At 47.9% G+C, this 27,814-nt stretch overlaps 2 protein-coding genes and 1 non-coding gene across 10 annotated transcripts in view, besides 2 other annotated features; 1 reads left to right on the forward strand and 2 right to left on the reverse strand.

Moving 5' to 3' along the window:
• RS1 (retinoschisin 1) overlaps positions 1-14,684 on the reverse strand; it is a 32,421-nt gene extending 17,737 nt beyond the window's left edge. The window contains exons 1-2 of the mRNA NM_000330.4: positions 14,593-14,684; positions 216-241 (exon numbers count right to left, since the gene is read on the reverse strand). Coding sequence (NP_000321.1) covers positions 216-241; positions 14,593-14,644 — 78 coding nt within the window. The 5' untranslated portion in view covers positions 14,645-14,684. The remainder of the gene's footprint in view (positions 1-215; positions 242-14,592) is intronic.
• Positions 3,913-4,464: an enhancer, noted in NCBI's record as "H3K4me1 hESC enhancer chrX:18679457-18680008 (GRCh37/hg19 assembly coordinates)". NCBI's record gives its function as "activates a minimal SCP1, AML or CMV promoter by ChIP-STARR-seq in naive H9 embryonic stem cells {active_cell/tissue: H9 hESC(naive)}" and the evidence as "EXISTENCE:reporter gene assay evidence [ECO:0000049][PMID:30033119]".
• Positions 17,482-17,668: a silencer, noted in NCBI's record as "fragment chrX:18693026-18693212 (GRCh37/hg19 assembly coordinates)". NCBI's record gives its function as "represses an EF-1alpha promoter that drives an FKBP-Casp9 reporter gene in an ReSE screen in HepG2 liver carcinoma cells {active_cell/tissue: HepG2}" and the evidence as "EXISTENCE:reporter gene assay evidence [ECO:0000049][PMID:32094911]".
• Positions 17,485-17,557, reverse strand: TRV-TAC1-2 (tRNA-Val (anticodon TAC) 1-2). Its single transcript has one exon. It is a non-coding gene; the product is annotated as a tRNA-Val (tRNA).
• Positions 17,643-27,814, forward strand: part of PPEF1 (protein phosphatase with EF-hand domain 1) — a 152,851-nt gene continuing 142,679 nt past the window's right edge. For 2 of the 8 annotated variants that reach the window (NM_001378382.1, NM_001377986.2), the window contains exon 1: positions 17,643-18,706. The gene's annotated coding sequence lies outside the window, so the exon portion shown is untranslated. Of the gene's footprint in view, positions 18,707-24,265; positions 25,418-27,814 lie in introns of those variants that run through there. The other 6 variants (XM_047442194.1, XM_047442195.1, XM_047442193.1 and 3 more) reach the window with 6 other exon arrangements.

Below are 27,814 nucleotides of genomic sequence, written 5' to 3' on the forward strand. Positions count from 1 at the left end.
GTTGGCGAGGCTGGTCTCGAACTCCTGACCTCAAGTGATCTGCTTGCCTCGGCCTCCCAAAGTGTTGGGATTACAGGCATGAGCCACCATGCCCAGCCAAAATATATTTCAAAATACATTTAAAAACAAAGTGATAGTCCTCTATGTTATTTTTGGCTAGGAAAATTTTCAAAAGTACTATGCATGTACATTACAGCCTTCTTACTGTTACATACCTCGGTAGACGATAATCCCAATGTGGCTAAAGCAAAAGGATGAGACAGAAAAAATCTAATTAATGAAAGAGAAATCCAACAGCATCACTCGTTACATGGAAAAGTGAAATAGAAATAGTCACATGAAAGCTACCAACACCCCTTCTGGAAGAAGTCATGGTGAGTAAATATCTGCCAGGAAAAACATCCGCAGATGCTAAGAAGCTAGGGACAGTAAAATTAAACAGAAAGAACAAGATCATCATTATAGGGCCGGTGCAGCGGCTCACACCTGTAATCCCAGCACTTTGGGAGGCCGAGGCGGGCCTAACACTTAGGCCAGGAGTTCGAGACCAGTCTGGGCACTATGACAAAACCCCGCCTCTACAAAAAATACAAAAATTAGCTGGGCATGGTGGCACGCGCCTGTAATCCCAGCTACTCAGGAGGCTGAGGCAGGAGAATCGTTTGAACCTGGGAGGCGGAGGTTGCAGTGAGCCAAGATCGCTCCACTGCACTCCAGCCTGGGCGACAGAGTAAGACTCTGTCTCAAAAACAAACCAAAAAAAGATAATCATTATTTTTGTTCGTTATAGAATTTTGGAAACTACATTAATGTAGCAAAGTGGACAGGGCAGGGAGAGGAAAACACCTGTATTTTTTACCACCAAAGCCAACACTGTTAACATTTTAGTATAAATATTTCCCGTCATTTCCTGTCATTTTTCTATGTGTATTTTTAAATATATTTGAGAACTTGCTATCTAAACAGTGTTGTATCCTGCTTTCCCTTTCATTTAACCCTAGCAGTGTGAAGTTTTTCTGTGTTTTTTTTCTTTCTTTCTTTCTTTTTTGAGATGGAGTTTCACTCTTGTTGCCCAGGCTGGAGTACAATGGCGCGATCTCGGCTCACTGCAACCTCCGCCTCCTGGGTTCAAGCAGTTCTCCTGCCTCAGCCTCCCAAGTAGCTGGGATTACAGGTGCATACCACCACACCTGGCTAATTTTTTGTATTTTTAGTAGAGACAGGGTTTTGCTATGTTGGCCAGGCTGGTCTCGAACTCCTGACCTCAGGTGATACTCCTGCCTTGGCCTCCCAAAGTGCTGGGGTTACAGGCATGAGCCACCATGCCCGGCCCAAGGTTTCTCTTTTATTAAATCTTCATCATCATCATCATCATCATCATCATCATCATCATCCCTTGTGTCTGCCCAATGTGCTATTCAGGAGTTGATTCCCAGTTCCCTCACTGTGCCACAATTAGATGATTTAAGATTAAGACATTGTTTAGAAATTATTTTATAGGTTTGTCTATAATGTACAGGAAATATCAAACCACAATCAAAGTATAAGTACCATATACATAATGTGGGAAAATTGAAAGTGTGCAAAATTTAACATAAAACTGACATATAAGCTCTCTTTATAGAAGCATGAATAAAGAGAATGAATTCACACTTTAGCAGGTAAAGAGTTTGCATATATTAGCAGAAACTGATGGTTTAAAGCTTCACAGTCCAATGTAGTCATGACTAGTCCCATGTGGTATTGGAATTTAAATTAATTAAAATTGGCCGGGCGGGGTAGCTCATGCCTGTAATCCTAGCACTTTGGGAAGCTGAGACAGGCCGATCACTTGAGGTCAGGAGTTCGAGACCAGCCTGGCCAGCATGCTGAAACCCTGTCTCTACTAAAAATACAAAAATCAGCTGGGCTTTGTGGCAGGCACCTGTAATCCCAGCCACCTGGGAGGCTGAGGCAGGAGAATCACTTGAAACCCGGGTTGCAGTGAGCCGATATTGCACCACTGCACTCCAGTCTGGGCAACAGAGTGAGACTCTGTCTCAAAAAATAAAATAAATTAATTAAAATTATCAAAATAAAAAGTTCAATTCTTCAGTCAAGCCAGCCACATTTCAAGTGCTTCAGAGCCACATGAAACTAGTGGCTACCGTACTGGCTAAGAAGATACAGAACGTTTCTATCATCGCAGAAGGTTGCATTGGACACTGCTGGTTTAAAGCACTGATGGGGTGCAGGAAACGCTACCATCAAATATGGCACCTGGACACACAAGGAAACTGAGAAAACTGCAGAAGCAGGAAGGTCTCTCTGACCTGCTCCTGCCCCCTCCCTCCTGAAGCTGGCCATAGAAACAAAAACAGCCCTTGACCCTTTCTCTCCTGAAATGGGCCATCGAATTCCTTTCACCTCTTCTTCCCTGAAGCAGGCCATCAAACCTAGGAAGGTCAGTCTAATCTTCTCCCCTGAAGACCCTCATGTGACAGGTGTCCTGCCCTATACCCGGAGGGAAGGAATATCACACAGGGGCACCAACACGAATCTGAACAAACAGGCCTTGTTATGCTTTTCTCATTTATTACCATTAGATCATACCCTTTGATCCTCCAATCATATTTCCACACAACTGTCCACAAAAATGCACAGGTCTTCCTGTTTCGTTGGGTCTTCATCTCTGAAAGCTCCTGTGCCATGTAAAACTTATTAAATAAGTATGGATGGTTTTCCCTCATTAATCTGTCTTTTGTCGTAGGGATCTCAGCCATGAACCTTGAGATAAGTGAGGAAAAGTGCTTACTTTTTCTCCCCTACACCACCAAAACTCCATTTCCCAGACTTGTTTTTTTTTTTTTCTTTTGAGACTGGCTCACTGCAACCTCTGCCTTCCGGGTTCAAGCGATTCTCCTGCCTCAGCCTCCCGAGTAGCTGGGATTACAGCCACCATGCCTGGCTAATGTTTGTATTTTTAGTAGAGACTGGGTTTTGCCATATTGCTCAGGCTGGTTTTGAACTCCTGACCTTAGGTGATCCACCTGCCTTGTCCTCCCAAAGTGCTGGGATTACAGGTGTGAGCCACCACACCCGGCCTTCCCAGACATTTTGAACAAAACAAATACCTTTCTTTCTTTTCTGATGATAAAAAAATTTCCGACTAAACCTGAGTGTAAAAAATGGAAATAAAAGTCCCTCCTTTAACCACTTTGCTATTTAAAAAGTGAATCTGATGCTCACAAAAAGCTTTTAGAAACCACACAAAGCCTTTATCATCACAATTATAAAAGCTTGAATTTCAATAATACACATTTCCCTGTTCTGCAACCACTTTTTTTGTGTCCACTGTAGGCTTGGCGCTATACTAGGACTGGGCCTTCTGAAATGGAAGCCTCACTCTCTGCTCACAAGGGGCTTGAGGACCCAGGAGAAGACAGGCCACTGGACCATGCCCATGGTGAGTACTTCGATGGGCTATGCAGGGGCTGCAGTGGGAGTGAAGCGCACATGTCTCTTAGCCTAGGAAGATTCAGGGCCACCCTCACCTGCAGCCACCACACTGCTGTCTCTCCTGGGCCCTTGTTCCACTGGTTACTCACCCGCTATGGGCAGAATTGACCTTCTCAAGTAGCAATGAAGGTTAGGGAGCGCCATCTTTGTAGCAGGCCACCAGAGTCCCTGCTATGATGTGAATGTTAGTGTCCCCCCAAAATTCATATGTTGAAACCCAGTCACCAATGTGGTAGTAGTAAGATGTGGGGCCTTTGGGAGGTGATTAGGCTTTGCCCTCATACATGGGATTAGTATCTGTGTAAAAGAGACTCCAGGGAGCTAGTGAAACAGGAAAGGTCCCCTTGTCCCCATCTCAGGGCATGCAAGGGAGGTGTGGTTCGCTTCTTCAGTGCCCCGCTGCTCAAACCTCTGGGGGAGCATACAGACGGGCAGGCTGTGGGGCTCCAAACCCACGGCAGTGTCTAGGGGCGAATGTTTACAGCTGAGGCCCCAGCAGGCGTGTGTTACAGAGTGCTCTTTTAGTTTGCCGTCTGTAGGCGGCTTGTGTTAGTCAGCCCCATTAGACTCGTCTCCCTGCCTTCTCACAGGGACAGAAAGCTTTCTGTATCTCAGGGTTCTTGCCTTGGGGTATCGGAAGAATCAGATCACACGTGGGCTTGCAGAATGAGTGCAAGGTTTTATTGAGTGGAAGGAGCTCTCAGCAGATAGGGGAGCCAGAAGGGAGATGCTTTTCTCCTGGAGTCGGGCTTGGTAGGTGGCCCCACTCTTCTCCGACAGCCTGGCCAAACTCCACCTCGTTCCGCCGGTTGATGGCCTGGGGCTGCCGGCGTCTATCGTGCGCTCTTCCGCCGGCGCACTCCTCTCAACGCCTTCTGCACGTCCAGCCACTTGTGTCTTCTTCCGCCAATGTGCTCCTCTCGACATCTAGCCGCTTGTGTGTCTGCCTGCTAGGGTCTTGGAGTTTTGATAGGCACAGGATGGGGGCGTGGTGGGCCAGGGTGGTCTTGGGAAATGCAGCATTTGGGCACGAAGGCAGGAGTGCCTGTCCTCACCTAGGTCCGTGGGCACAGGCCTGGGGGTGGAGCCCGAGGCAGGGACCACGCGCTGCCCCCCTCCAGTATCACTAGCTTGCCCCTTCCGCCATGGGAGGGCACAGCAAGAAGGTGCCAGGGATGAAGCAGGAAGCAGGCTCTCACCAGACCCAAATCTGCTGGCACCTTGATCGTGGACTTCCCAGCCTCCAGTATTGTACGAAATAAATTTCTGTGGTTTATAAGCCACCTAGTTTATGGTATTTTATTATAGCTTCTCAAACAGACAAAGACAGTCCCTCAATGTCAGACTCTGTGCTGGCTGAGGAAGTTAACAACGACTTTTTAAAAAAATTATTATTATACTTTAAGTTCTAGGGTACATGTGCACAACGTGCAGGCTTGTTGCATATGTATACATGTGCCATGTTGGTGTGCTGCACCTGTTAACGCGTCATTTACATTAGGTATATCTCCTAATGCTATCCCTCCCCGCTCCCCCACCCCACGACAGGCCCCAGTGTGTGATGTTCCTCGCTCTGTCTCCAAGTGTTTTCATTGTTCAGTTCCCACCTATGAGTGAGAACATGCGGTGTTTGGTTTTCTGTCCTTGCGATAGTTTGCTCAGAATGATGGTTTCCAGCTTCATCCATGTCCCTACATGAACTCATCCTTTTTTTTTTTTTTTTGAGATGGAGTCTCGCTCTGTCGCCCAGGCTGGAGTGCAGTGGCGCGATCTTGGCTCACTGCAAGCTCCGCCTCCCGGGTTCACACCATTCTCCTGCCTCAGCCTCTTAAGTAGCTGGGACTACAGGCGCCCGCCACCACACCCGGCTAATTTTTTGTATTTTTAGTAGAGACGGGGTTTCACTGTGTTAGCCAGGATGGTCTCGATCTCCTGACCTCATGATCCGCCCACCTCGGCCTCCCAAAGTGCTAGGATTACAGGCGTGAGCCACTGCACCCGACCTCATCCTTTTTAATAGCTGCATAGTATTCCATGGTGTATATGTGCCACATTTTCTTAATCCAGTCTATCACTGATGGACGTTTGGGTTGGTTCCAAGAACAATGACTTTTTTTTTTTTTTTTTTTTTTTTTGAGACGGAGTTTCACTCGTTGCCCAGGCTGGAGTGCAATGGCGCAATCTCGGCTCACAACAACTTCGGCCTCCTGGGTTCAAGCGATTCTCCTGCCTCAGCTTCCTGAGTAACTGGGATTACCGGCATGCGCCACCATGCCTGGCTAATTTTGTATTTTTAGTAGAGATGGGGTTTCACCATGTTGGTCAGGCTGGTCTGGAACTCTCGACCTCAGGTGATCCACCTGCCTTGGCCTCCCAAAGTGCTGGGATTACAGGCGTGAGCCACTGTGCCTGGCTTTTTTTTTTTTTTTTTTTTTTTTTGAGACAGGGTCTTACTCTTGTCGCCCAGGCTGGAGTACAGTGGCAGTCATAGCTCACTGCAGCCTTGAACTCCAGGGCTCAAGCCATCCTCTCACCTCAGCCTCCCATGGTAGCTGGGACTACAAGCCCGTGCCACCACACCCAATATTTTTAAACCTATTTTTATAGAGATGGAGGTCTCACTATGTTGCCCAGGCTGGTCTTGAGCTCCTGGGCTCAAGCAATCCTCTGGCCTTGGCCTCCTGAAGTGCTGGGATTACAGTCGTGAGCCACTGCACCCAGCCAACTTCTTATTTTCAAATCCAATGGACTCTTCCCAACACTGACCTTCCATCTTCACACCGCAATGTTGGGTGCTGTCAGTCCCATCTTCCTTTAGCTTCCACCACTCTAGGTACACCTTCTCAGTCTCCTTTGAGAGCTCTGCTTCCTCCACCCACCCAGTAAACATTGCTAAATCCAAGGTTCAGATATCCAGTAAGCACTGAATGGCCTACAGGATATCTTCCCGTAGATGTCTCTTGCTAGCTCAAAGTGGACCAACCTAGTGTTGACAAGGCTGTGGAGAAACCTGAACTGTGTCATATGTTGCTGGTGGGGGTGCAAGGTGGTCTAACCTCTTTGGAAAACTATTTGGCAATTTATACAAAGGCTGAACATATATGCGCCCTATGACCCAGCAATTCCACTCCTAAGTAGCTACCCACCAGATATGCATACATATATACTCCAAAACCAAAAACATGTGCTAGATGATCCATAGCGGCAGTATTTGTAATACCCCCAAACTGGAAATGCTCATATGTCCATCAAAAGCAGAGCATCTACATCGGGGTATGTTTACACAATGGAACACTATACTGCAATGCAAATAGATAGTCTAGAACTACATGCCACAGGGTGGATGCATCTCATGATGCTGAGTGAGAAGTCCAATGCTGAAGCAGATACACCACATGGATCCATTAAAAAACGTACAAAAGGGGCCGGGCGCGGTGGCTCACGCCTGTAATCCCAGCACTTTGGGAGGCCGAGGCAGGCAGATCACCTGAGGTCAGGAGTTCAAGACCAGCCTGGCCAACATGGTGAAACCCTGGCTCTACTAAAGATACAAAAATTAGCCGGCCATGGTGGTGCACACCTGTAGTCCCAGCTACTCAGGAGGCTGAGGCGGGATAATCACTTGAGCTGGGGAGGCGGAGGTTGCAGTGAGTCAAGATCACGCCACTGTACTCCCAGCCTGGGCAACAGAGTAAGACTCCATCTCAAAAACAACAACAACAAACTCATCTGCTTCCTCAGACTGTTCTCCTTTCTCTAGTTCTTTATTATTATTGTTGTTATTATTAGTAGTATTATTATTATTATTTTGAGACAGGTTCTTGCTCTGTCACCCACACTGGAGTGCAGTGGTGCTATCTCACCTCACTGCAGCCTCGACCTCCTGGGCTCAAGCAGTCTTCCCACCTCAGCCTCCTGAGTAGCTGGGACTACAGGCCTGCGCTGCCACGCTCAGCTAATTGTGTTAATTTTTTTGTAGAGACGGGGTCTATGCTATGTTACCCAGGCTGGTCTCAAATTCCTGGGCTCAAGGGATCCTCCCACCTCGCCCTCCCAAAGTGCTGAGATTACAGGCGTGAGCCCCTGCACCTGGCCTCTTTTCTCTATTTCTTATCTCCTGAGTGGCTTCGCCATCCATCTACCACCCCATCCAGAAGGCTCCTCCAAGCCTCCTCTTTTTCCTAAATCCCTACCATCCTATGGCCACCAGGGGCTTTCTCTCCTCTCCATCCCACTGCCTGCTTTGAGGCCCCACCCTCTCTCCCAGGTACTCTACCTGCTAAAGAGAGACTTGTCTCTTTCATCCTCCACGCTGCTGAGGCAGTGAGGTGCAAACCTGATGCCGCCACTCTCCTGCGCAAAACGCTTTGGCGGGTCCCTGTTGCCAGGGGCTGAGTCCCACCTCTGAGATGTATTATGATCTCTCCATTTCCACACCCCTATGATGCATATAATAATAAAGTGTCCTTCAAGGGGTCATGGAGATAGATCTACCTCCTGCCCACCTCTCGGGATTTATGTTTCTCACTCTGTACTGCTCGCCAAGCCACAAATGTGCCAGACTGTCTCTTGCCTCCGTCCATAGAATTTCTTTGCCTCAAATGCGTCCCCCCACCCCTACTTCTCCGCCTGCTCAGCCCATTCCCTATAAAGAGGACGTTTCCTGGCCGGACGCAGTGGCTCATGGCTGTAATTCTAACACTTTGGGAGGCTGAGGTGGGAGGACCCCTTGAGCTCAGAAGTTTGAGACCAGCCTGGGCAGCATGGCGAGACCCTGTCTCTGCTAAAAATAAATAAACAAACAAATAAATAAATAAAAATTAGCCAGGTGTGGTGGCACACACCTGTGATCCGAGCTACTTGGAAGACTGAGGTGGGAGGATCATGAGAGTTGGAGGCTGCAGTGAGGTATGATTGCATCACTGCACCTCAGTCTGGGTGACAGAGTGAGACCCTGTCTCAAAAAAAAAAAAAAAAAAAAAAAAGAGGGTTTTTCCTGTCCCTCAGCTCACCATTTGCTCTGGCCTTTTCAGTCCACCTTTTTCTTGCCCACAGATTATAGAAACCCATACAAAAAATGACTGATAATGACTCACCTCAAAGCATTCATTCATTCAACTAATATTCATTGAGCATCTACTACATTCCAGTCCCAGCTTTAGGTGCTGGGGATAGAGTAGCAAACAAAACAGGAAAAGCACTTGCCATCATAAAGCTCATAGGCTAGTGTGTGTGTTGGGTGGGAGTGGGTGGGGAGAATACATTAATGAACTAATGAAGAAAGAGAATAGATAGTATGGAAAATTACGGTGACTGCTGTGGAGAAAACACAAGGAAGTAGGGAACAGGGACTGGTCCTTTTGGGCTTAGGGAAGCCCTCACTGAGAAGGTGATGTTGGAGCAAAGATTCGAAGGAGGCGAGACACCTGTGGGCAAAGCATTCTGGGCAGAGGGAACAGCATGTGCCAAGCCCTCGAGGTGAGCGTGTGCTTGGCGTGTTCCAGGAAGAGCAAGGAGCTCCTGAGGCTGGAGCTAGAGGAGAGAGAGTCTTAGGAGATGACGAGGTTGGGGGTGTCCGGGAGCCAGTTCCTGCAGGGCCTCGTGGGCCATGTGAGGCTTTGTGGAACTTGAGGATAGACGAGGACATTACTGACCACAGTTTCAAAGGCTCCCTCTGGTACAATGTTGTGGACCGGGCTGGCCACGGCAAGTGTGGCAACAGGGTCCGGTTCCGAGGTGAGTGCAGTCATCCGAGGGAGAGAAGATGCTGGCTTGGCCCAGGGTGGTGGCAGTGGAAGTGTTAAGTGGCTGGATTCTGACTACACTGGGGAAGTAGTGCCCACAGGATCTGCGGGCAGATTACGCGTGGCAGGGGTGGGGGTGTGAAAGAAACGGAAGTCTGAGGCTGGGGCAACTGGGAGGATAGAGCTGCCATTTGCGGGGCGGGCGGAAGGGGAAGAAGGTTTCAGCGAAGACAAGGGATTTGGGGAGGATGGGGAGGAGGATGATCTGTTTGGGACATAATGAATTTGAGACGCCTAGGGGACACCCCAGTGTTGAAATCGAGCTGGCAGCCAGACAGATGCTTCTGGAACTCAAGGGGGAGCCCAGACAGGCTGGATGGTGCCCTGTGCTCTGCGGAGTTAACGACTACATGAACTCCTAACCTCAGGCCTGTAGCTGTTCATCAAGAGATGCAAAGGAAATCAGCAATTAGGGTCTAGTTGGCTGGGGGCTGCTAGTCCAGGAGATGCTCTGTCCCATCCCCACCCTCAAGAGAAGCTGGGACTGGCTGTGAGGCAGTTTCTGAAGGGCCCTGTCAGTTAGGTCAACATCAATTGTGCCAGGCCCGTGGCTCACGCCTGTAATCCCAGCACTTTGGGAGACCGAGGCGGGCAAACCACTTGAGGTCAGGAGTTCCAGACCAGCCTGGCCAAGGTGGTGAAACCCTGTCTCTACAAAAAACACAAAAATTAGCTGGGCATGGTGGTGCGTGCCTGTCATCCCAGCTACTAGGGAGGCTGAGGGAGGAGAATCGATTGAACCCAGGCGGGCGGAAGGTTGCAGTGAGCCAAGATCACGCCACTGCACTCCACCCTGAGCAACACAGCGAGACTCTGTCTCAAAAAAAAAAAAAAAAACAGTGCCAGATCCTCTTTTTGGGAGACCAAAGGCAAGGGGTGTTGGTGGTCACTGACAGTGTGGCTTTCATAACCAAATCCACTTGGCTCAAAGGCCATGTATGTCACTGAAGAGAGTCTGGTCTGTTGAGCTGTCACTGAGCAAACCTAGAGTCCAAGGAAGAGAGGCCTGCTTTCAGAGCCAATTCCTGGGTGCAATCCAATTTTGGACCCATTTCTTGCATTTCTTTTCTTCCCAGACTCCCCTCCCGCAGAAAGCATTTGTCTGTAGACAGCCTGGGGTTCTGAGGTACCATATCCTTATGGAAGTGAGCAGAGAGAGAAGGAACGACAGGCGTTTTACAGAAAAAGCTGTCACCAAAGGAGAAGCAACATGGCTGCTGCAGTCCCACACAATGATTTAATCACCAACAAACTGGAGAACAAAAGCATTTTTGGCGACAACATATTGTAATGGCAAAAACCGCAGTTACTCTTGCACCAACCTAATAGTATCATACCAGAAAATAGCATTGTTGGAAGGGGAACAAGAGAAATATCTCAGCCTCTAAAGGAAAAATAGTGAAATATTTCGATTATGTGGTTGCATATTTTTCTCCCTGTTTAGATGGCTTCTGTGATTCCGCCACATGTTACATGAGACATCCGCCAGTCACCAATCTTAGATTTATGCAATGTGGGCTTAGATTTATGCAATATGGGCTCATTCTGCCCCTTGGTCCAAAAGGGCCACTCTGCTGTGAGGAAACCCTTGTTGTCACAGCAGGAAATTTCAAGGCGTGTCTATTTCTTGAAATGTACCTTGCAACCCATGAGGAAAGGCGCGCTTTAGATACACACAGGAAAACCTAGTTTAGTCTCTTGGATTGGGTATCACCAACCATAGAGCGTTCCTTCCCATGGAAACAGATGAAGCCGAGAAGAAAAGCATAAAATTATGAATGATTAAAAATGGTCTGTAACCAGCTTCCAATCTGCTTGAGAAACAGGAGGAACGCACGCAGCAGGCTGCAATAATGTCCCTCTCGTGAAAGAGAAAGAAGGAAATTGCTTCTGGTGTGAAAGTGTTACTATTTTAGGCGACAGGCATATTCATGGGTAAATCTGTTATCTGCACATGCTTCAAACACAGATGAACCTCAACCACATATGCTAAGCGAAAGACAAAAGACCACATGCTGTGTGACTCCATTGAAATGAACTGTCCAGAACTGGCAAATCTTTAGAGACAGAAAGTCGATCCGTGGTTGCCCAGGGGCTGGGGGAGGGGGGAGACAGGGAGAATGGGGAGCGAGGGCTTAATGTTTGGGTGATGAAAATGTTCTAAAATTAGATTATGTGCTCCACAAATCTGTAAATATACTTAAAACGATCGAACAATAGACTTTCAATGGGTGAATTTAAGAGTATATAAATTACATCTCAATAAAACTGCTTTAAAAAAACCCCTGCAATCTCTGATGGTAACACAGTCACCTATAAGTTGAGGCTGAAGGACTTTTTTTGTTTTTATATAATAAACATGACCAAGTAATGAAGTAAGATATTTTAATACGATGGATGTTCTAAAAATCCTTATTGGCATTGAATCCAATATGTGCGGTGTAAGAGAAATAGAAGCCTGACTCAATTATAAGACATAGGAAGCCAGGTGCGGTGGCTCATGCCTGTAATCCCAGCACTTTGGGAGGCCGAGGCAGGCAGATCACCTGAGGTCGGGAGTTCGAGACCAGCCTGGCCAACATGGAGAAACCCCGTCTCTACTAAAATTACAAAAATGATCCGGGCGTGGTGGCACACGTCTGTAATCCCAGCCACTCGGGAGCCTGAGGCAGGAGAATCGCTTGAACCCGGGAGATGGAGGTTGTGGTGAGCCGAGATCACGCCACTGCACTCCAGCCTGGGCAACAAGAGTGAAATTCTCAAAAAAAAAAAAAAAAAGACATAGGAAATGCCTTACTGTGAGGCTGTGTGCTCTCCGAAATGAACCTTCATCCAACGCCTAAGTGAAGGCAATTTCTTTACCTTATTTCACTGTAATGAGGAGACACTGCCACTGAAGGACAGAAGCAGTGGAGGGTAAATTGGACAAACAGCCTTTGTCTTCAGGTTCCCAGCTGTACAATGGGATGCATCTTTCCCATGTCTATGGGCCTTATGCATCTCCATCTGGATAATATGCTGATTAAGTTCAGTGATTGTGTCCTCTGTCCCCTGGAGCATCCCTCTGGCCCAGGGTAGGGCACACAGTAGGTTGCCAAGCCACACTGGCTATTTTTGGCTGGCTGCTTTCCTTTCAAGTGCTGTTAAAGGCCTGCGTTAAGCAAGTAAGATAATTTAAGCTCCCCAAACCTTCCCACTGGCCCACGTTGCAGGGCACCTGGAGAGACGATGTTCTCTGCTCTTCGTGGACATTTCTGGAGCTCCCCAGCCATGCACAAAGATTGGTAAACTTTAGAACACGAAAGAGTGCTATCCTTCATGCCTCCTGACAGCCTGTCTTTTATTGCTGATATCCACTAACTGGGCAGGTCTAATTTTAAAATGCTTTGGTAAACATTTCTAGGACTTCTTCGCATCGCGGGGGTGGGGAGGTCACAGAACAGGGTTGTTAGACTCAGCACTGTGGAAGAAACAAGGATGCCCTGCATGTCAAGTCCTTTTTTTTTTTTTTTTTTTTGAGACTGAGTCTCGCTCAGTCACCCAGGCTGGAGTGCAATGGCATGATCTCAGCTCACTGCAACCTCCCTCTCCAGCAATCAGACGATTCTCCCGCTTCAGCCTCCCCCGAGTAGCTGGGATTAGAGGCACCTGCCATCATGCCCAGATACTTTTTGTATTTTTGTAGAGACGGGGTTTCACCAGGTTGGGCAGGCTGGTCTCAAACTCCTGACCTCAGGTGATAGACCCGCCTCAGCCTCCCAAAGTGCTGGGATTACAGTCATGAGCCACCGCGCCCCGCCGTCATACACAATGTTTGCCCCCTAGCAGATAGTCAGGGATGAGCTCTTAAAAGAAGGGACCAAGGAATGAATGAATGAATCTCCATGCCAATCACAAAGAAGAGAAATCCGAGAGTGAGCCCTGGGAGTGTCTGACAACCAGGAGTATTTAGATCTAAGCCTTGAAAGAGTCTGCTTAGATTTTCTTGCTGAGGAAAGAGGAGGGGGCAAGGAGTAAAAGGAAAAACAACAAAACCCCAAAGCATCTTAAAGTAGTCAGAGTTACTGGGACAAGTTGCAGACTATTAATTGCAAGGGGAAAAAATCCTAACAGACAACTGGTTTACATGATCCCTACTTAGAAATATACCTTGGGGTTTGCAGAATGACCTTGGAATTATATTGTCACCAGTCTTTCCAAATACTGAGAAATGTGACTAAGTAACAAAAGTCATCAGCCTGGGAAACATGGTGAAAACCCCTCTCTACAAGAAATACAATAAATTAGCCGGATGTGGTGGTGCGTGCCTGTAGTCCCAGCTACTAGGGAGGCTGAGGCAGGAGGATGGCTTGAGCCTGGGAGGTTGAGGCTACAGTGAGCCGTGAAACCAAGAATTCTGATTCTACTTGTGTGAGTTTCGCTGTGTCTGTCTACCAGGTCATTTGCAGAGCACAGAGACCTCCTTCTCCCTGCTTTTTAATTTATTTTCTATAACACACAAATACACGATGTCCACAAAGAAGACAGGCAACCAATTTCTAACATCTGGATGAACCTGAGGAGAAATTCTGAGCAGATGGGTACTTGAGAATTGAGAGAGGCATGAAAGAATATTATTTCAAAGATTGAGAGGGAATTGGAACTGGATGACATTTTACAGATTTGCCCTTATTTTTTCCTAATTGAAGCATATCACTTCTGCTAGGGTCATATTTAGAAATTTTAAAATGAGTGAGTGTACTGAGTCTCCGAGGTTTCCTGACTCTCAGTTGGATTATGTTTTTTATTAGATTCCAGTGGTACTGGGTATGTTACGTTAATCCATATTTAAACTAGGTTGACCTTACACCCCAATTTGCCCTGGATGGTCCTGGGTTACACCTGTCGTCCCAACAGAATTATTAATAGCATCGTCCTCCACCGTCAATAGCATTCCGGTTTGGAATATTAAATTCTACAATCACTCCCACTTTGACTCCTAAAAGTTTTCCAGAATATGCCATACTTTCTCATTAATTGTTGCAACTTATGGCTATTTTATAGATTTCTGAGACCCATCCTGTTTTCTGTTGGATTTTAAGCATCCTTTGAACTTTAGAAGGCTCCTCACAGAACTGGAAAGCCATCCACACAAAGACAACTGTTGTTCATTAATAACACATGTTAGTTAATTAACGTGTTGCTAATTAATAATATTTATATTATTCAGGCTATATTCCTATTTATCAACGATATTAATTAAATTATGTATTAAGTATGCAATGAATGTCAATGGTTGAATAGCACATACCTTCATAGCCAAAGAGAAGTAATAACAAAAAGCCTTCTATCTTGCGTGACATCTTCCCCTCGTCCTCGGCCAAAGCTCTACCTTACTGAACTGGAGAGCTGGCCCAGGAGCAGGGGATTAAGTTGAGCCCTGGCCTCATTAAGCATCTTAATCCATTTAGTTCTTAGGTCTTTGGCTGAGCCCCATCAAGTTAACCCACAGAGTTACCTGCCTCAACAAGGAAGTCTCATGGAAGATACTAGCATCAACTGAGATTCAGTTCGCGAGGAAGATACTTTTCGTTCTTTTTTTTTTTTTTTTTTTTTTTTTTGAGATGGAGTTTCGCTCTTGTCACCCAGGCTGGAGTGCAATGGCGCCATCTCGGCTCACTGCAACCTCTGCCTCCCGGGTTCAATCTAGTCTCCTGCCTCAGCCTTCCGAGTAGCTGGGATTATAGGCTCACGCCACCACGCCCAGCTAATTTTTGTATTTTTAGTAGAGATGGGGTTTCGTCATGTCAGTCAGGCTGGTCTCGGACTCCTGACCTCAGGTGATCCACCCACCTCGGCCTCCCAAAGTGCTGGGATTACAGGCGTCAGCCACTGCGCCCGGCCCATACTGTTCATTCTATCTTAATGTAAGGGAAGCAATGGAGGGAGAGAACTACAACCAGAAGTCTCAGGTTTTCGTCCTTTCTTCGCCATCATTTTTTAGGGGGTGACCTTGAACAATTTCCTGCCACATAAGCACTAACATTCTCGAATTGTATGAAAATGTCATGGATTCCCCTCTTTGAAAGCAACTAGGCATCATGTGCACACCTATTCACTCAGGAAAATGCTAAATTTGGTGGTGGTGGGAGGACAGTTAACACAAAGCTGTGCATTGCTGTGTTACTTTTAACAACAACAAATTGGAAACAATCTAAATGGCCAAGGTTAGGGGGCTGGTTAAGTAAATCAAGAGATGAGTGCAGCCTGGTAGGTTTAAGAGCACAGACTGCCAACCCAGACTGGGTGCCAAATCGCAGCACTAGCACTTGTTACATTGTGACCTCAGGGCAAGTTATTAATATCTCTGCGCCTAAACTTTCTCATCTGTAAGATGATGATAATAATGCCTACTTTCGAGAGTTATTTTGAGGCTTACAAGAGATCATATGTATAAAATACTTAGCACAGTGCTAGACATAATTAGCTATTATTTTTACATCACCATTCAGAATAAAGTTGATGGGAGGAAAAGGGGAGTTGTTTAATAGGTATAGAGTTGAGTTTTGCAAGATGAAAAAGTTCCCGAGATCTGTTTCACAACAATGTGAATATACTTAACACTACTGAACTGTACACTTAAAAATGATTATGGTGGGCTGGAGGTGGTGGCTCACACCTGTAATCCCAGCACTTTGGGAGGCCAAGGCAGGCAGATCACTTGAGGTCAGGAGTTCGAGACCAGCCTGGGCAACATGGCGAAACCTCGTCTCTACCAAAAATACAAAAATTAGTCGGGCGTGGTGGCGTGCACCTATAATCTCAGCTACTCGGGAGGCTGAGGCAGGAGAATCGCTTGAACCCAGGAGGCCGAGGTTTCAGTGAGCCGAGATTGTACCACTGCACTCCAGCCTGGGTGACAGAGCCAGACTCTGTCTCAAAAAAAAAAAAAAATGGTTAAGGTGGTTTTAAAAAAGGCCGGGCACGGTGGCTCAAGCCTGTAATCCTAGCACTTTGGGAGGCCGAGGCGGGCGGATCACGAGGTCAGGAGATCGAGACCATCCTGGCTAACACGGTGAAACCCCGTCTCAACTAAAAATACAAAAAATTAGCCGGGCGAGGTGGCAGGCGCCTGTAGTCCCAGCTACTCGGGAGGCTGAGGCAGGAGAATGGTGTGAACCCGGGAGGCAGAGGTTGCAGTGAGCTGAGATCACGACACTGCACTCCAGCCTGGGCGACAGAGTGAGACTCCGCCTCCAAAAAAAAAAAAAAGAATAAAGTTGATGAAGTGATTGTAATAACAGGGAAAGAGTTACACTCAAGTTAGAAAAAGACGCAAATTTCTACACTGTTAAGGATGCATAACTAGGTTGAAAATGCAGAGAAAAATACTGAGTGCCCCTTCCCATTTTATATTTTTTGCTACCACCATCTCACCATGGCCCACACCCTCATTCCTCTTGTCAAAGATAAAAAAGCCAATATTTAAACAAATAATAAACTCCCCAAAGGAAACTGTAATGAAATAGTAAAGAGGAACAGAAAGAAACTAGAGAAACGTTTGCTCATTCAACCAGTATTTATTGAATGTCTACAAGCCTGACATTTATTTTATACTGTGTATGAACTCTATTCCACAAATTCTACTGCTGCATTAAAAGGGACTGTGGGGTTTTTTTTTTTTCGTGCTCTGCACATCAGAGTTTAATGAAAAATAGAACTTTTAATCAGAGTCATAATCATGACCGACCTTTAATAATTCACCTGCAGTCAAAGCGCTGCTGTATTGCCTGCCACATTTTAGTTGGAGGTTGGGTGGCCGGCCCTTGCTGGCTTGCAGGCAAAGGGCAGCCAGGTGCATTCCCCGAGCGCCCGATTTTCCGAGGCGTACTGGGAGGAGAGGTGGGGTAGGGCCCGGCCGGATCGGGGGCGCCGGATCGGGTCTAGGACTTCGCCCGGCCCCTGCCCTCCACTACTTCTCATGTCGGACTATGGCGGCAGTGACCTTGTGGGATAGGAGAGGGTATCTGTCATTTCACTTCTGCGAGAAAAACATGCCAAAAAATTAAAAAGAAAAAAAGGACAAAGAAAAACACTTCGTTGTCGCTTTTTGGTTTTTTTTGTTTGTTTAACCCAAACCCTTTTTTTTTTTTAACCCAAACAACGAAACCCTATAAAAGCAAAAACAGCCGCCTTACGGCTATGGTTCCACTGGGGCTCGAACCCAGGACCTTCTGCGTGTAAAGCAGACGTGATAACCACTACACTATGGAACCTCTACGAGGAAGAATATTGTTGGGACTTTATTCATAGACTCACAGCAGTTCCGGTCCCTCCGCCGGAGCCCCGCCTCTCCACCGTGACCCCGCCCCCGAGGCGAGGAGTTTGCGGCGGCTTCGAGTCTCGGGCTCCGGCGTTTGGGCGGCTTGTCTTCCCTGCCCGCCACAGTCGCGGCCCCTGGGACCAGGGCGAGGCCGGAACCCCGGCCGAGAGCACCTCCCTGCTATCATCTGTCCCCAAACTTTCCCTCAATCGAGGCGCCGGCGGGGCGGCCCGGCGGCCGGAAGTGCACCCTGCTCGGGCTTTGCGCCCCCGGCAGCTTCCTCCGCCCGCGAGGGCCCCGCGCCTTCCCATTTTCCCAACCGGCAAACTGAGCCTCGGCCACCCGGCCCACTTGCCGGTCGGAAGTCAGGACGTCGCCGCTTGCGGCGGCGTGGAAGGCTTCGCCTCCGGAGCAAGGAGGACGGGCCGCTGGTTAGCGGGCCCTTTGCCCGAGGGTGTGGACCTCTACCCGCTCCCCTGCCCCTTCCCGCAGCCTTCTTCCCCTCCCGAGGACAGGCCTAGGGGGTGCAAATGCCAGGGCTTCCGTTAGGTCTCCTTAGTCTAGGGCTGCAGGGGTTGGGGGACGAAGACGTGTAGACGGGGCCACCCGTCTATGGCTTCCAGGGTGGCAGCGGCCCTGGCCACGTGATTGAGGGGCCCAGTGCAAAATGAAGATGCCAGGCCCCTTGTTAAGTTTTTGAGAATTTCACACGGTAACAGCAGAGTATTCAACCTGGTGCGGGGTCCCTGACTTGCTTGCAGGACTGTAGTCTGGGTAACGGGCTGGGACCCTCCATCACAAAGGGTGATTCTTGTTTTTCATCGTCAGTGTCATTTGCCTTCTTCAGGGCTTCCAGGTGGATCTTCGTCACCACCCTAGGATTGCTCACCATTCTCAAGCTTGAAAACCCACCTGCAATCATTTGGGCGGGGGGGGGGGGGCATCTTTAAGCGCCCAGGTGAACTTGGTCTGCAGGCAGCAGCTGTCCTTTTCTCTGGATCTTCTGCTGAGGTCGGTAGGTTGATAAGTGATACTGATTTTGTGGCAGGAACTCCCTTCAGCCAACTCCTGTCTTCCTGGGAAGGCCTCTGGAAGAAACCAGGTGGGTGCAGGGAACACTAAGGTGGGGATCTGGATGTTCGTCTTGATTTGGCCATTCATGAGCTGGGTGCTCGAGCTAGTCAGTTCACCTCTGGTCTCAGTCTCCTCCTTTGTAAATACAAGGGTTGGACTAAACACGTCCCCTTTCACCTCTGGGTCTCAATGTTATGCCCATCTTCCACGTAGGAAAACGGAGGCAGTTATCTGCCATGTAATCCCCCCCACACACACACCCCCGCCCCCCGCCCAGAAGTAGAGGCAGGCCAGCTAGTGGCGTGGGTTTTTCTAGTACCCGTTTCCCGATGTCCTCAGTTAGCTCCCTGTCATATTCATCATGGGGCCCCCTTCTAGTCTGCTTTTTTGGTGAGACGTTTTCAGAGGCCTCTCGAGCGCTTGATGCCTAGATTGTGGGCCACGAGATGACCAGAGTGGCCAGCCACCGGCCGGAGGATACGTTCCTGAGAGCTCCACGTTTCCCACTAGTCAGTGAGCCTCAGGACTCCTGGGAAGCCTGATAATAAGTGTATCCCACCTGTTTCCAAACCCCTAGCGGTCGAAAACAAGACTGCCAGGAACTGGCCCTAAAGTTACACCCACTGGTTGTGTTTTGGATGGTGTCTCTAGGAAATGCTTTGCTCTCCAGCCCCCCACATCCCGATTTTTCTGTCTGCCCCTGGGTATAAAGGTATGTTTGCCAAGTTCCCACACTTAACCTCTGTGCAGAAAAGAAGCTGGTGTCCCTCTGTTGCATGCTTAACCTCTGTGCAGAAAAGAAGCTGGTGTCCCTCTGTTGCATGCGACACAGGTATCTGCCTTTGGTGAAAAACTCTTGTTCCTTTTCTCCATTCCAGGAGGGAAACTGTGTTCTGTTCTCCCCGCCGCCCCTCGCAAGGTGTCATCACAATCTTTTTTTTTTTTTTTTTTTTTAAGACGGAGTCTCGCTCTGTTGCCCAGGCCGGAGTGCAGTGGCACGATCTCAGCTCACTGCAACCTCTGCCTCCCGTTCGAGCAATTCTCCTGCCTCAGCCACCCAAGTAGCTGGGATTACAGGCGCCCCCCCACCATACCTGGCCTACTTTTTGTATTTTTAGTAGAAATGGGGTTTCACCATGTTGGCCAGGTTGATCTCAAACTCCTGGCCTCAAGTGATCCGCCCACCTCGGCCTCCTGAAGTGTTGGGATTGCAGGCGTAAGCCACCGCGCCCGGCCCCACCCAGCTCAAATTCTGTGGTCATTTTTATCACTTGCTTGTTTGCCCTTTCATTTCTTCCTTGTGCTTGTTGGTAAAACCACAATCTCTTACATCTGACTGTCTCCCTACCCTGCCCCTGAACATGGCCCAAGAAGAACACATCCAAGCTGACTGGTTTCACACTAAATTCATGACTGCTTAGCTCAAGTGAACCCTTTCTGCAGTCCAGAATACGTGTCCACTTCTAAGGACGGTTTCATGTCTTATCTCCGTAAACCTCCTGTACCCCCAACCCTAATCTCGGTTACAGCTGATGATCTAGCTTCCTATTGCGGTGAAAAAATGGAAGCAATCAGAAGAGAACTTCTGGAAGTCCCCTGCCAGCCACCGTCTGCTCTCGTGCTCTTCCTCTGGATCAGGATGGGTTGGGACTGGCTAACTCTGTCGTAGGAGGCTGTCCCGTGTATTGTAGGATGTTTTGCAGCATCCCTGGCCTCTATTCACTGGATGCGTGTAGCACACATCCTCCCCCACCACCCAGTTGTGATGACCCAAAATGTCCCCTGGGGGACAAAATCTTGGGAGTTCTTTGGCAATATCTGGAGACGCTTTTGTTGGTTATGACTGGGAGAGGGGTACTATAGGCACCCAGGAGGGAGAGGCCGGGGCGCTGCCAAACATCCTGTGGTGCCAGCTACTCTGGGGGAGTGAGGCGGGCAGAATCCCTTGAGCTCAGGAGGTCGAGGCTGTCGTGAGCCATGATTGCACCGCTGCACTCCAGCCTGGGTGACAGAGTGAGAACCTGGCAAAAAAAAAAAAAAAAAAAAAGCCGGGTGCGATGGCTCACGCTTATAATCCCAGCACTTCGGGAAGCTGAGGCGGGCGGATTGCTTGAGCTCAGGAGTTCAAGACCAGGCTGGCCAACATGGCAAAACCCCATCTCTATAAAAAAATACAAAAAACTTAGCCAGGCATGGTGGCGCACACCTGTAGTCCCAGTTACTCTGGAGGACTGAGGCAGGGAGGATCCCTTGAGCCTGGGGAGGTCGAGGCTGCAACAAGCTGAGATCGCATCACTGCACTCCAGCCTGGGCGACAGAGTGAGACCCCGTCTCAAAAACGAAAACAAAAGCAAAAAAACAGGAAAAAAGCTCTTAATTCCACTTCCACCTGTGCCACTTCCATGTCTCTGCTCTCCTTTATAATACAGTTCTTAGATTGGTCTGGTGCTCTCTCCAGTTCTGTCCCCCCACTGGGACTTGTTCCAGCACTCCACCAAAATTCCTCTGATCCAGTGATTTCCACATTGCTACACAGAATAGCTCTTCCTTTTCATCAGATTTGATCTACTAGCAGCATTGAAAACAACCCATCACTCTGTTTTGAGGTACCTTCCCCTCGGCTTTTAGGATGCGGACCTCTCGCGATGTTTATTTCCTCTCACTGCATACTCCTTTTTGGTCACTTTTGCTGGAGCCTCATCTCTTTGACCTTTAAACACAGCCGTACCTCAGAGGTCTCGGTGCTTGGACTTCTCTATTTGTTCTCACCACCCCAGCGACCTCATTCAATCTAATGGCTTTCAATACCCTTGAGAACCTAGAAGATTCCAGTGTGTATCTCTAGTCTAGACTTTTCTCTCAAACTCCAGACCTACATGTTCAACATCTCCATTTAGATGTCTGTTAGGTTAGGCATCTCACATGTCTGTGTCCACGCTTCTGATCTCTGCCCCTAAATCCGCTTCTCTCTTGATCTGTTTTTCTTTTTTGGAGACAGTTTTGCTCTGTCACCCAGGCTGGAGTGCAGCAGCGCCATCTTAGCTCACTGCAACCTCCACCTCCTGGGTTCAAACAATTCTCGTGCCTCAGCCTCCCGAGTACTTGGGATCACAGGCGTGCGCCACCACATCCGGCTGATTTTTTTCTGTATTTTTAGTAGAGATGGGCTTTTGCTGTTTTGGCCAGGCTGTTCTTAAACTCCTGGCCTCAAGTGATTCACCCACCTCGGTCTCTCAAAGTGTTGGGATTACAGGCGTGAGCCACCGTGCCTGGCCTCTGTTTTCTTTATCGCAGATAATGGCAGCTTCATCTTTCCAGCTATTTAGGCCTAAAACTAAGAATCATACTTGATTCTTCTTTTTCTTACACCCCCAGTGTAATCTTACTAGCAAAGCTTATTGGCACCACCTGCAAGATCTATCTATGCTAGCTTTCTGTCATCTCCCCAGCTACACTCTAATCAAAGCCACTATCACATTTTGCCTGGATCATAGCCAGTAGCCTCAGATCTTGGCCTTTCAGCTTCTGCCCTTTCCCCCCTACAGACTATTCTCCACACAGTAGCCAGAGTGGTCCTTTCAAGATTCAGATTAGCTCTCATCATTCTGTGCAAAACCCTTCAATGGCTCCCTACCTCAACTAGAAAAGCTGAAGCCTTACAGTGGCCTACAAGGCTTGTGCCTCTCTGGTTATAAATCCTCTTACTGGCCAAGCACAGTTGATCATGCTTGTAATCCCAGCACTTTGGAGGCCAAGGTGGGCAGACACTTGAGGCCAGGAGTTTGAGACCAGTCTGGCCAGCATGATGAAATCCCGTCTCTACTAAATATACAAAAATTAGCCAGGTATGGTGGCATGCACGTGTAATCCCAGCTACTTGGGAGGCTAAGATGGGAGGATCGCTTGAGCCTGGGAGGCGGAGGTTGCAGTGAGCCGTGACTGTGCCATTACACCCCAGCCTGGGTCACAGAGCAAGACCCTGTCCTCAAAAAAAAAAAAAAAAAAAATCCTATAACTTTGCCTTTGCTTTGACTGCACTCCAGCCACACCGGCCTGCTTGCTGCCCTTCAGTTACACTAGGCCTCTCCTGCCTCGGGGCCTTTGCTGCTGCTGCTGCTGCTGCTGCTGCTCTCAGCCTCGAATAGTTTTTCCTTAGATCACGCTGTTGCTTGTTCTCTCACCTTGCTCGGGTCATACCCAGATATCTTCTCAGTGAGGCCTTTCCTGACTGTCTACTGAAAATTGCTATTATTCTTTTCCATTCATGCTAGAGACTCACTGCCCCCCTTTCCTGCTTATTTTTCTCTGCAGCACTAAATTTCTTCTCTTTTTTTTTTTTTTTTTGATACGGCATCTCGCTCTGTCGCCCAGGCTGGAGTGCAATGGCGTGATCTCGGTTCACTGCAACCTCCGCCTCCTGGGTTCAAATGATTCTCCTGCCTCAGCATCCCGAGTAGCTGGGACTATAGGCACCTGCCACCACGCCCAGCTAATTTATATATATAAATATTTTTAAATTTTATTATTATTATACTTTAAGTTTCAGGGTACATGTGCACAACGTGCAGGTTTGTTACATATGTATACGTGTGCCATGTTGGTGTGATGCACCCATTAACTCGTCGTTTAGCATTGGGTATATCTCCTAATGCTATCCCTCCCCCTCCCCCCACCCCACAAGAGTTCCCGGTGTGTGATGTTCCCCTTCCTGTGTCCATGTGTTCTCATTGTTCAATTCCCACTTATGAGTGAAAACATGCAGTGTTTGGTTTTTTGTCCTTGCGATAGTTTGCTGAGAATGATGGTTTCCAGTTTCATCCATGTCCCTACAAAGGACATGAACTCATCATTTTTTATGGCTGCATAGTATTCTATGGTGTATATGTGCCACATTTTCTTAATCCAGTCTATCGTTGTTGGACATTTGGGTTGGTTCCAAGTCTTTGCTATTGTGAATAGTGCCACAATAAACATACGTGTGCATGTGTCTTTATAGCAGCATGATTTGTAATCCTTTGGGTATATACCCAGTAATGGGATGGCTGGGTCAAATGGTAATAGAGATGGGATTTCACCATGTTGGCCAGGATGGTCTTGATCTCTTGACCTCGTGATCCGCCCACCTTGGCCTCCCAAAGTGCTGGGATTACAGGCGTGAGTCACTGCGCCTGGCCTGCAGCACTAAATTTCTACATATTTACTAATTTATTTTGTTGATTGTCCCCACCATCCTCGACTGGAATGAAAGATCCATGAGGGCATGGATTTGGCTTCATTCTCTGTTGTATTACGCAGAGTCTAAATAGTTTCCAGCATATAGTAAGTGCTCAGTGAATATGTCTTGAAAACAATGTGTCAGTGTTGAGGGTGACTCAAGCCAGGGCAATGAGTTCCAGTAAGAGCTAATCCTGGATTTTTGCTTGACTTCTTGAGCAGAGACGTTTCCTAATTCACCCTGGACTTGAACGTGAGATGATGTAGAGGCTGGCACTTCTGCTGCCATCTTACTATTGCGTTATATTAGGGCTCTTGGTTGCATACAACAGAATCCTCTTGTTCAAAATATTCACTTTTCTTCCCCATGTAGGATTTTGACACCATGGTCCCCCGATAGACTTGCCCAGGTGGCTTTGCTTTGCCCAGTTGAATGTGAGCAGAAGTGATGAGTATCACTTCCAAGCAAAAGTGTAAGAGCCAGTGTGGTGGCTGCTTCTGTCCTTCCCCTTTGCTGCAAGAAGAACAGCAATGCCCCATAGACAGGTTGGCCTGAGTTTCAGAGGGAAGGCTCCATGTTACATAACTGCAGCCCATCTGCACTGTCCGCGGAACTGGAGTGCAAAACAAACCTTTATCATTGTAAGCCACTAACGTTTGGGGTTGTTACGAAAGCATAACACCACCTAAGCGGCTTCAACACTCCCACAAGTTTAAGAGGAAAAGGAGTTTATTAAAGGACACCAGATGGCTCACAGGATCTCCAAGAAGGCCTCGGTGACTCCAAAGCCAGGAATGATGTCCAAATCTCACTGAGGGACTGCACCAGCGCAGGTGCGCACTGCTGCCTCCTCTGAGTACATATTTAGTAAGTCACACCAGTGTTGGAGCCCAGAATCTTGACCACTGCTGTCTCTGGAAACTGGACACCTCTGCCACTAACCTTGGCAGTAGATGGCCTTTGGGAGCCCTCCACGTCTTCAGGTTGCCCTCTTCTGGATTGAAGTCGCTGGCAGAGCTGAGTTTACCTGCCTGTGCTCTTGCTATCAAAGAGGCTGGAAAAGCAAATTTCTTGTTTCTACTTTGGCGAGTTAGGAGTCAAACAGGAGGAATTACCAAGACATAGGGAGGAGGTTCAGAAGTTAGTGAATGACCATGAAGCATGAAAGACGTCCACGACCTGCTGGAGACCTGAGGATGGAGCGGACACCAAGGGATCCCAGCTGAGCAATAGAGCAGCTGGGTGCCATGACTTACGCCCCGGCCCCAGTCATGCATATACCATTGACTCTTCAGTTATTTGAGGAAACCATTCCTAGCTTTGCTTAAGCCAGCTGGAATGGGCTTACTGACACTTGCAATGGAAAGAGTCCTAATGATCTGTGTCTCAAATGGATGAGCGTTGGCACAGTGGCTAACGGTGGTGCCCTGGCTCGGATGCCTGAAAGTTTTGGTTGTTCTCAGTCCCCAGTAAGTGGGGATGAGGCTGACAGTTATGGGAATGGCCGCTTCTGGTAGGGTAGGTGTATTAATCTGTTCTCACGCTGCTAATAAAGACAAACCCCAGACTGGGCAATTTATAAAGGAAAGAGGTTTAGTGGACTCACAGTTCCAGTGGCTGAGGAGGCCTCACAATCATGGCGGAGGATGAAGGAGGAGCAAAGGGACGTCTTACATGCTGGCAGGCAAGAGAGAAATGAGAGCCAGGCAAAAGGGGAAGCCAAAACCATCAGATCTCATGAGACTTATTCACTCTCATGAGAACAGCATGGGAAAGACCTGCCCCATGATTCGATTGCCTCCCCTCCGGGTCCCTCCCACGACACGTGGGAATTGTGGGAGCTACAATTCAAGATGAGATTTGGGTTGCAGCACAGCCAAACCGTATCACCTGGGTTGTGGTTTCCCTGTCTGCTGGGGAGCCAGTAGTTCTCATGTACAGCAGGGCGCTTGCTCACGTGTGGCACAGTAACCAGGCCAGGTACAATTATACAGTGGGCAACATGTCTGTGTCAGATAGTGCTAGTTGCTTATCTACTAGCAGATATTGAGGAAAAGAGGAATATCCGTTCCTCTTTTCCTCAATAAGACAAGTAAAAACGCACAGTTGTACAGTGCTTGCTGTGTATTAGGGACTATTCTAAGTGCTTCACTCGTATTAACTCATTGAATCCTCATGAGAACCCTGTACTATTATCATAGTTTGCAGGTGAGGAAATCGAGGCACAGAGTAAGTTGGTAACTTGACCAAGTCACACAGTGACATAAAGAAGCAAGGTTCTAAGCCCAGACCATCTGGCTCCGTGGGCTGTGCTTAGCCTCTGCACTATAGTGCCTGATTTTGTTTGCTTTGGTGATGTGTCTGGCTAAAACAGCTTCATTTCCTTGAAAGGAGGTAGACCCATTTGGTATCCCCCCTTTTGCCCATAGTTCATCTCTTTCTGCCTGGAACGTGAGTGTGGTGCTAGAAGGAGGGCATCACTTTCTGTCGTGATTACTATTTTGCACCCATGAGTTGACAATTGGGAAGAAGAAAGCTGCATGGCTTGGCCTAAAGAAGGAAGGTGCCTGGGTCCCAGCCCCAGATTCCCTACTCCAGATTCCTTGTGAAATGAATAATAAAATCCCTCATTTTTAATGCTACTGTTTAGTAGAAGTTTCAGTTATATGAGGAAAAATACAGATCCTACTGATTGAACCTTTGCACATAGCTCACCCGTAGCTCTCTCCTGTACCATTTTGACAATGTCTTTAATTTGTCCCCCAGCTACCAAGGGCTTGCCCTGTGTTCCAGTCCCTTGATGGAAGTTGTTCATTATCACATGCCTGCAATATGTCTGGGAACACAGTGTTGGGTAGTGCGGGAGCTTTTTTAAAAAAAGTATATGACATGGCCTCATCTCAAGAAGTCTGAAGAACATGAGTTAACCCAAAGGACTCATTTGTTCCAGTATGTTAATGGAAGATAGTGGCTTGATGTGGTTTTCCTAATGTAGGATGTTACTAGATCTGAATTTGGGCCCGGTCTCCTTTCTCTTAAAGAAGAAACTTGACAAAAGAGAAGGCTGATGAGGGATAGGCAGGGTGATAAGCAAAAACCTGTCTAATAGGAAAGAAGGCCTCACATGGTATACCTCTCCAGACCAGCTATCTATAACCTTCACAATCACCCACGATCACTTTCAGTGAGATTACATTTCCTAGAGATGGCCACTCGAGAGAGAAACAGATGAGCTTAGAATGTTTTGTCTCCCCCTCTCTTACTTAACCTATCTTGGGATGTGTCTAGTATCTTTTTCTCTCTCTCTTTTTTTTTTTTTTTTAATTTGAGGCAGAGTCTCACTCTGTCGCCCAGGCTGGAGTGCAGTGGCACAATCTTGGCTCACTGCAACCTCCACCTCCCGGGTTCAAGCGATTCTCCTGCCTCAGCTTCCCAAGTAGCTGGGATTCCAGGTATCCGCCACCACGCCTTGCTGATTTTTGTATTATTAGTAGGGATGGATTTTCACCATGCTGCCCAGGCTGATCTTGAACTCCTGACATCAGGTGATCTGCCTGCCTTGGCCTCCCAAAGTGCTGGGATTACAGGCCTGAGCCACCACACCCGGCAGAGATGTGCCTAGTTTCTAAAGTCACTCCCCTGTGACTAGGTAACTGAACACAGAACAATTTGACTACTACTGCCCACTCCTCTAGAGTCCCATTTAAAAGGCAACACCTGATAGCAGCCAGTGCTAATTGGTGATGGAAATGGAATGGGTTACTCCCTCGACTCCCACAACACTTACTGCCTGATTTGTTTCCACATGGATTCAACTGGGCACGCAATAAGACTTGCCTCTAAGCTTTCTGCACAGTCTGAGGGAAAGATTTCAAGTGTGGTGCAGGTGTTAAACTCCAGTCATATTGTGTATTTTTACTA

This window comes from Homo sapiens, chromosome X, assembly GCF_000001405.40.
Source record: "Homo sapiens chromosome X, GRCh38.p14 Primary Assembly".
Lineage (NCBI taxonomy): Eukaryota > Metazoa > Chordata > Mammalia > Primates > Hominidae > Homo > Homo sapiens.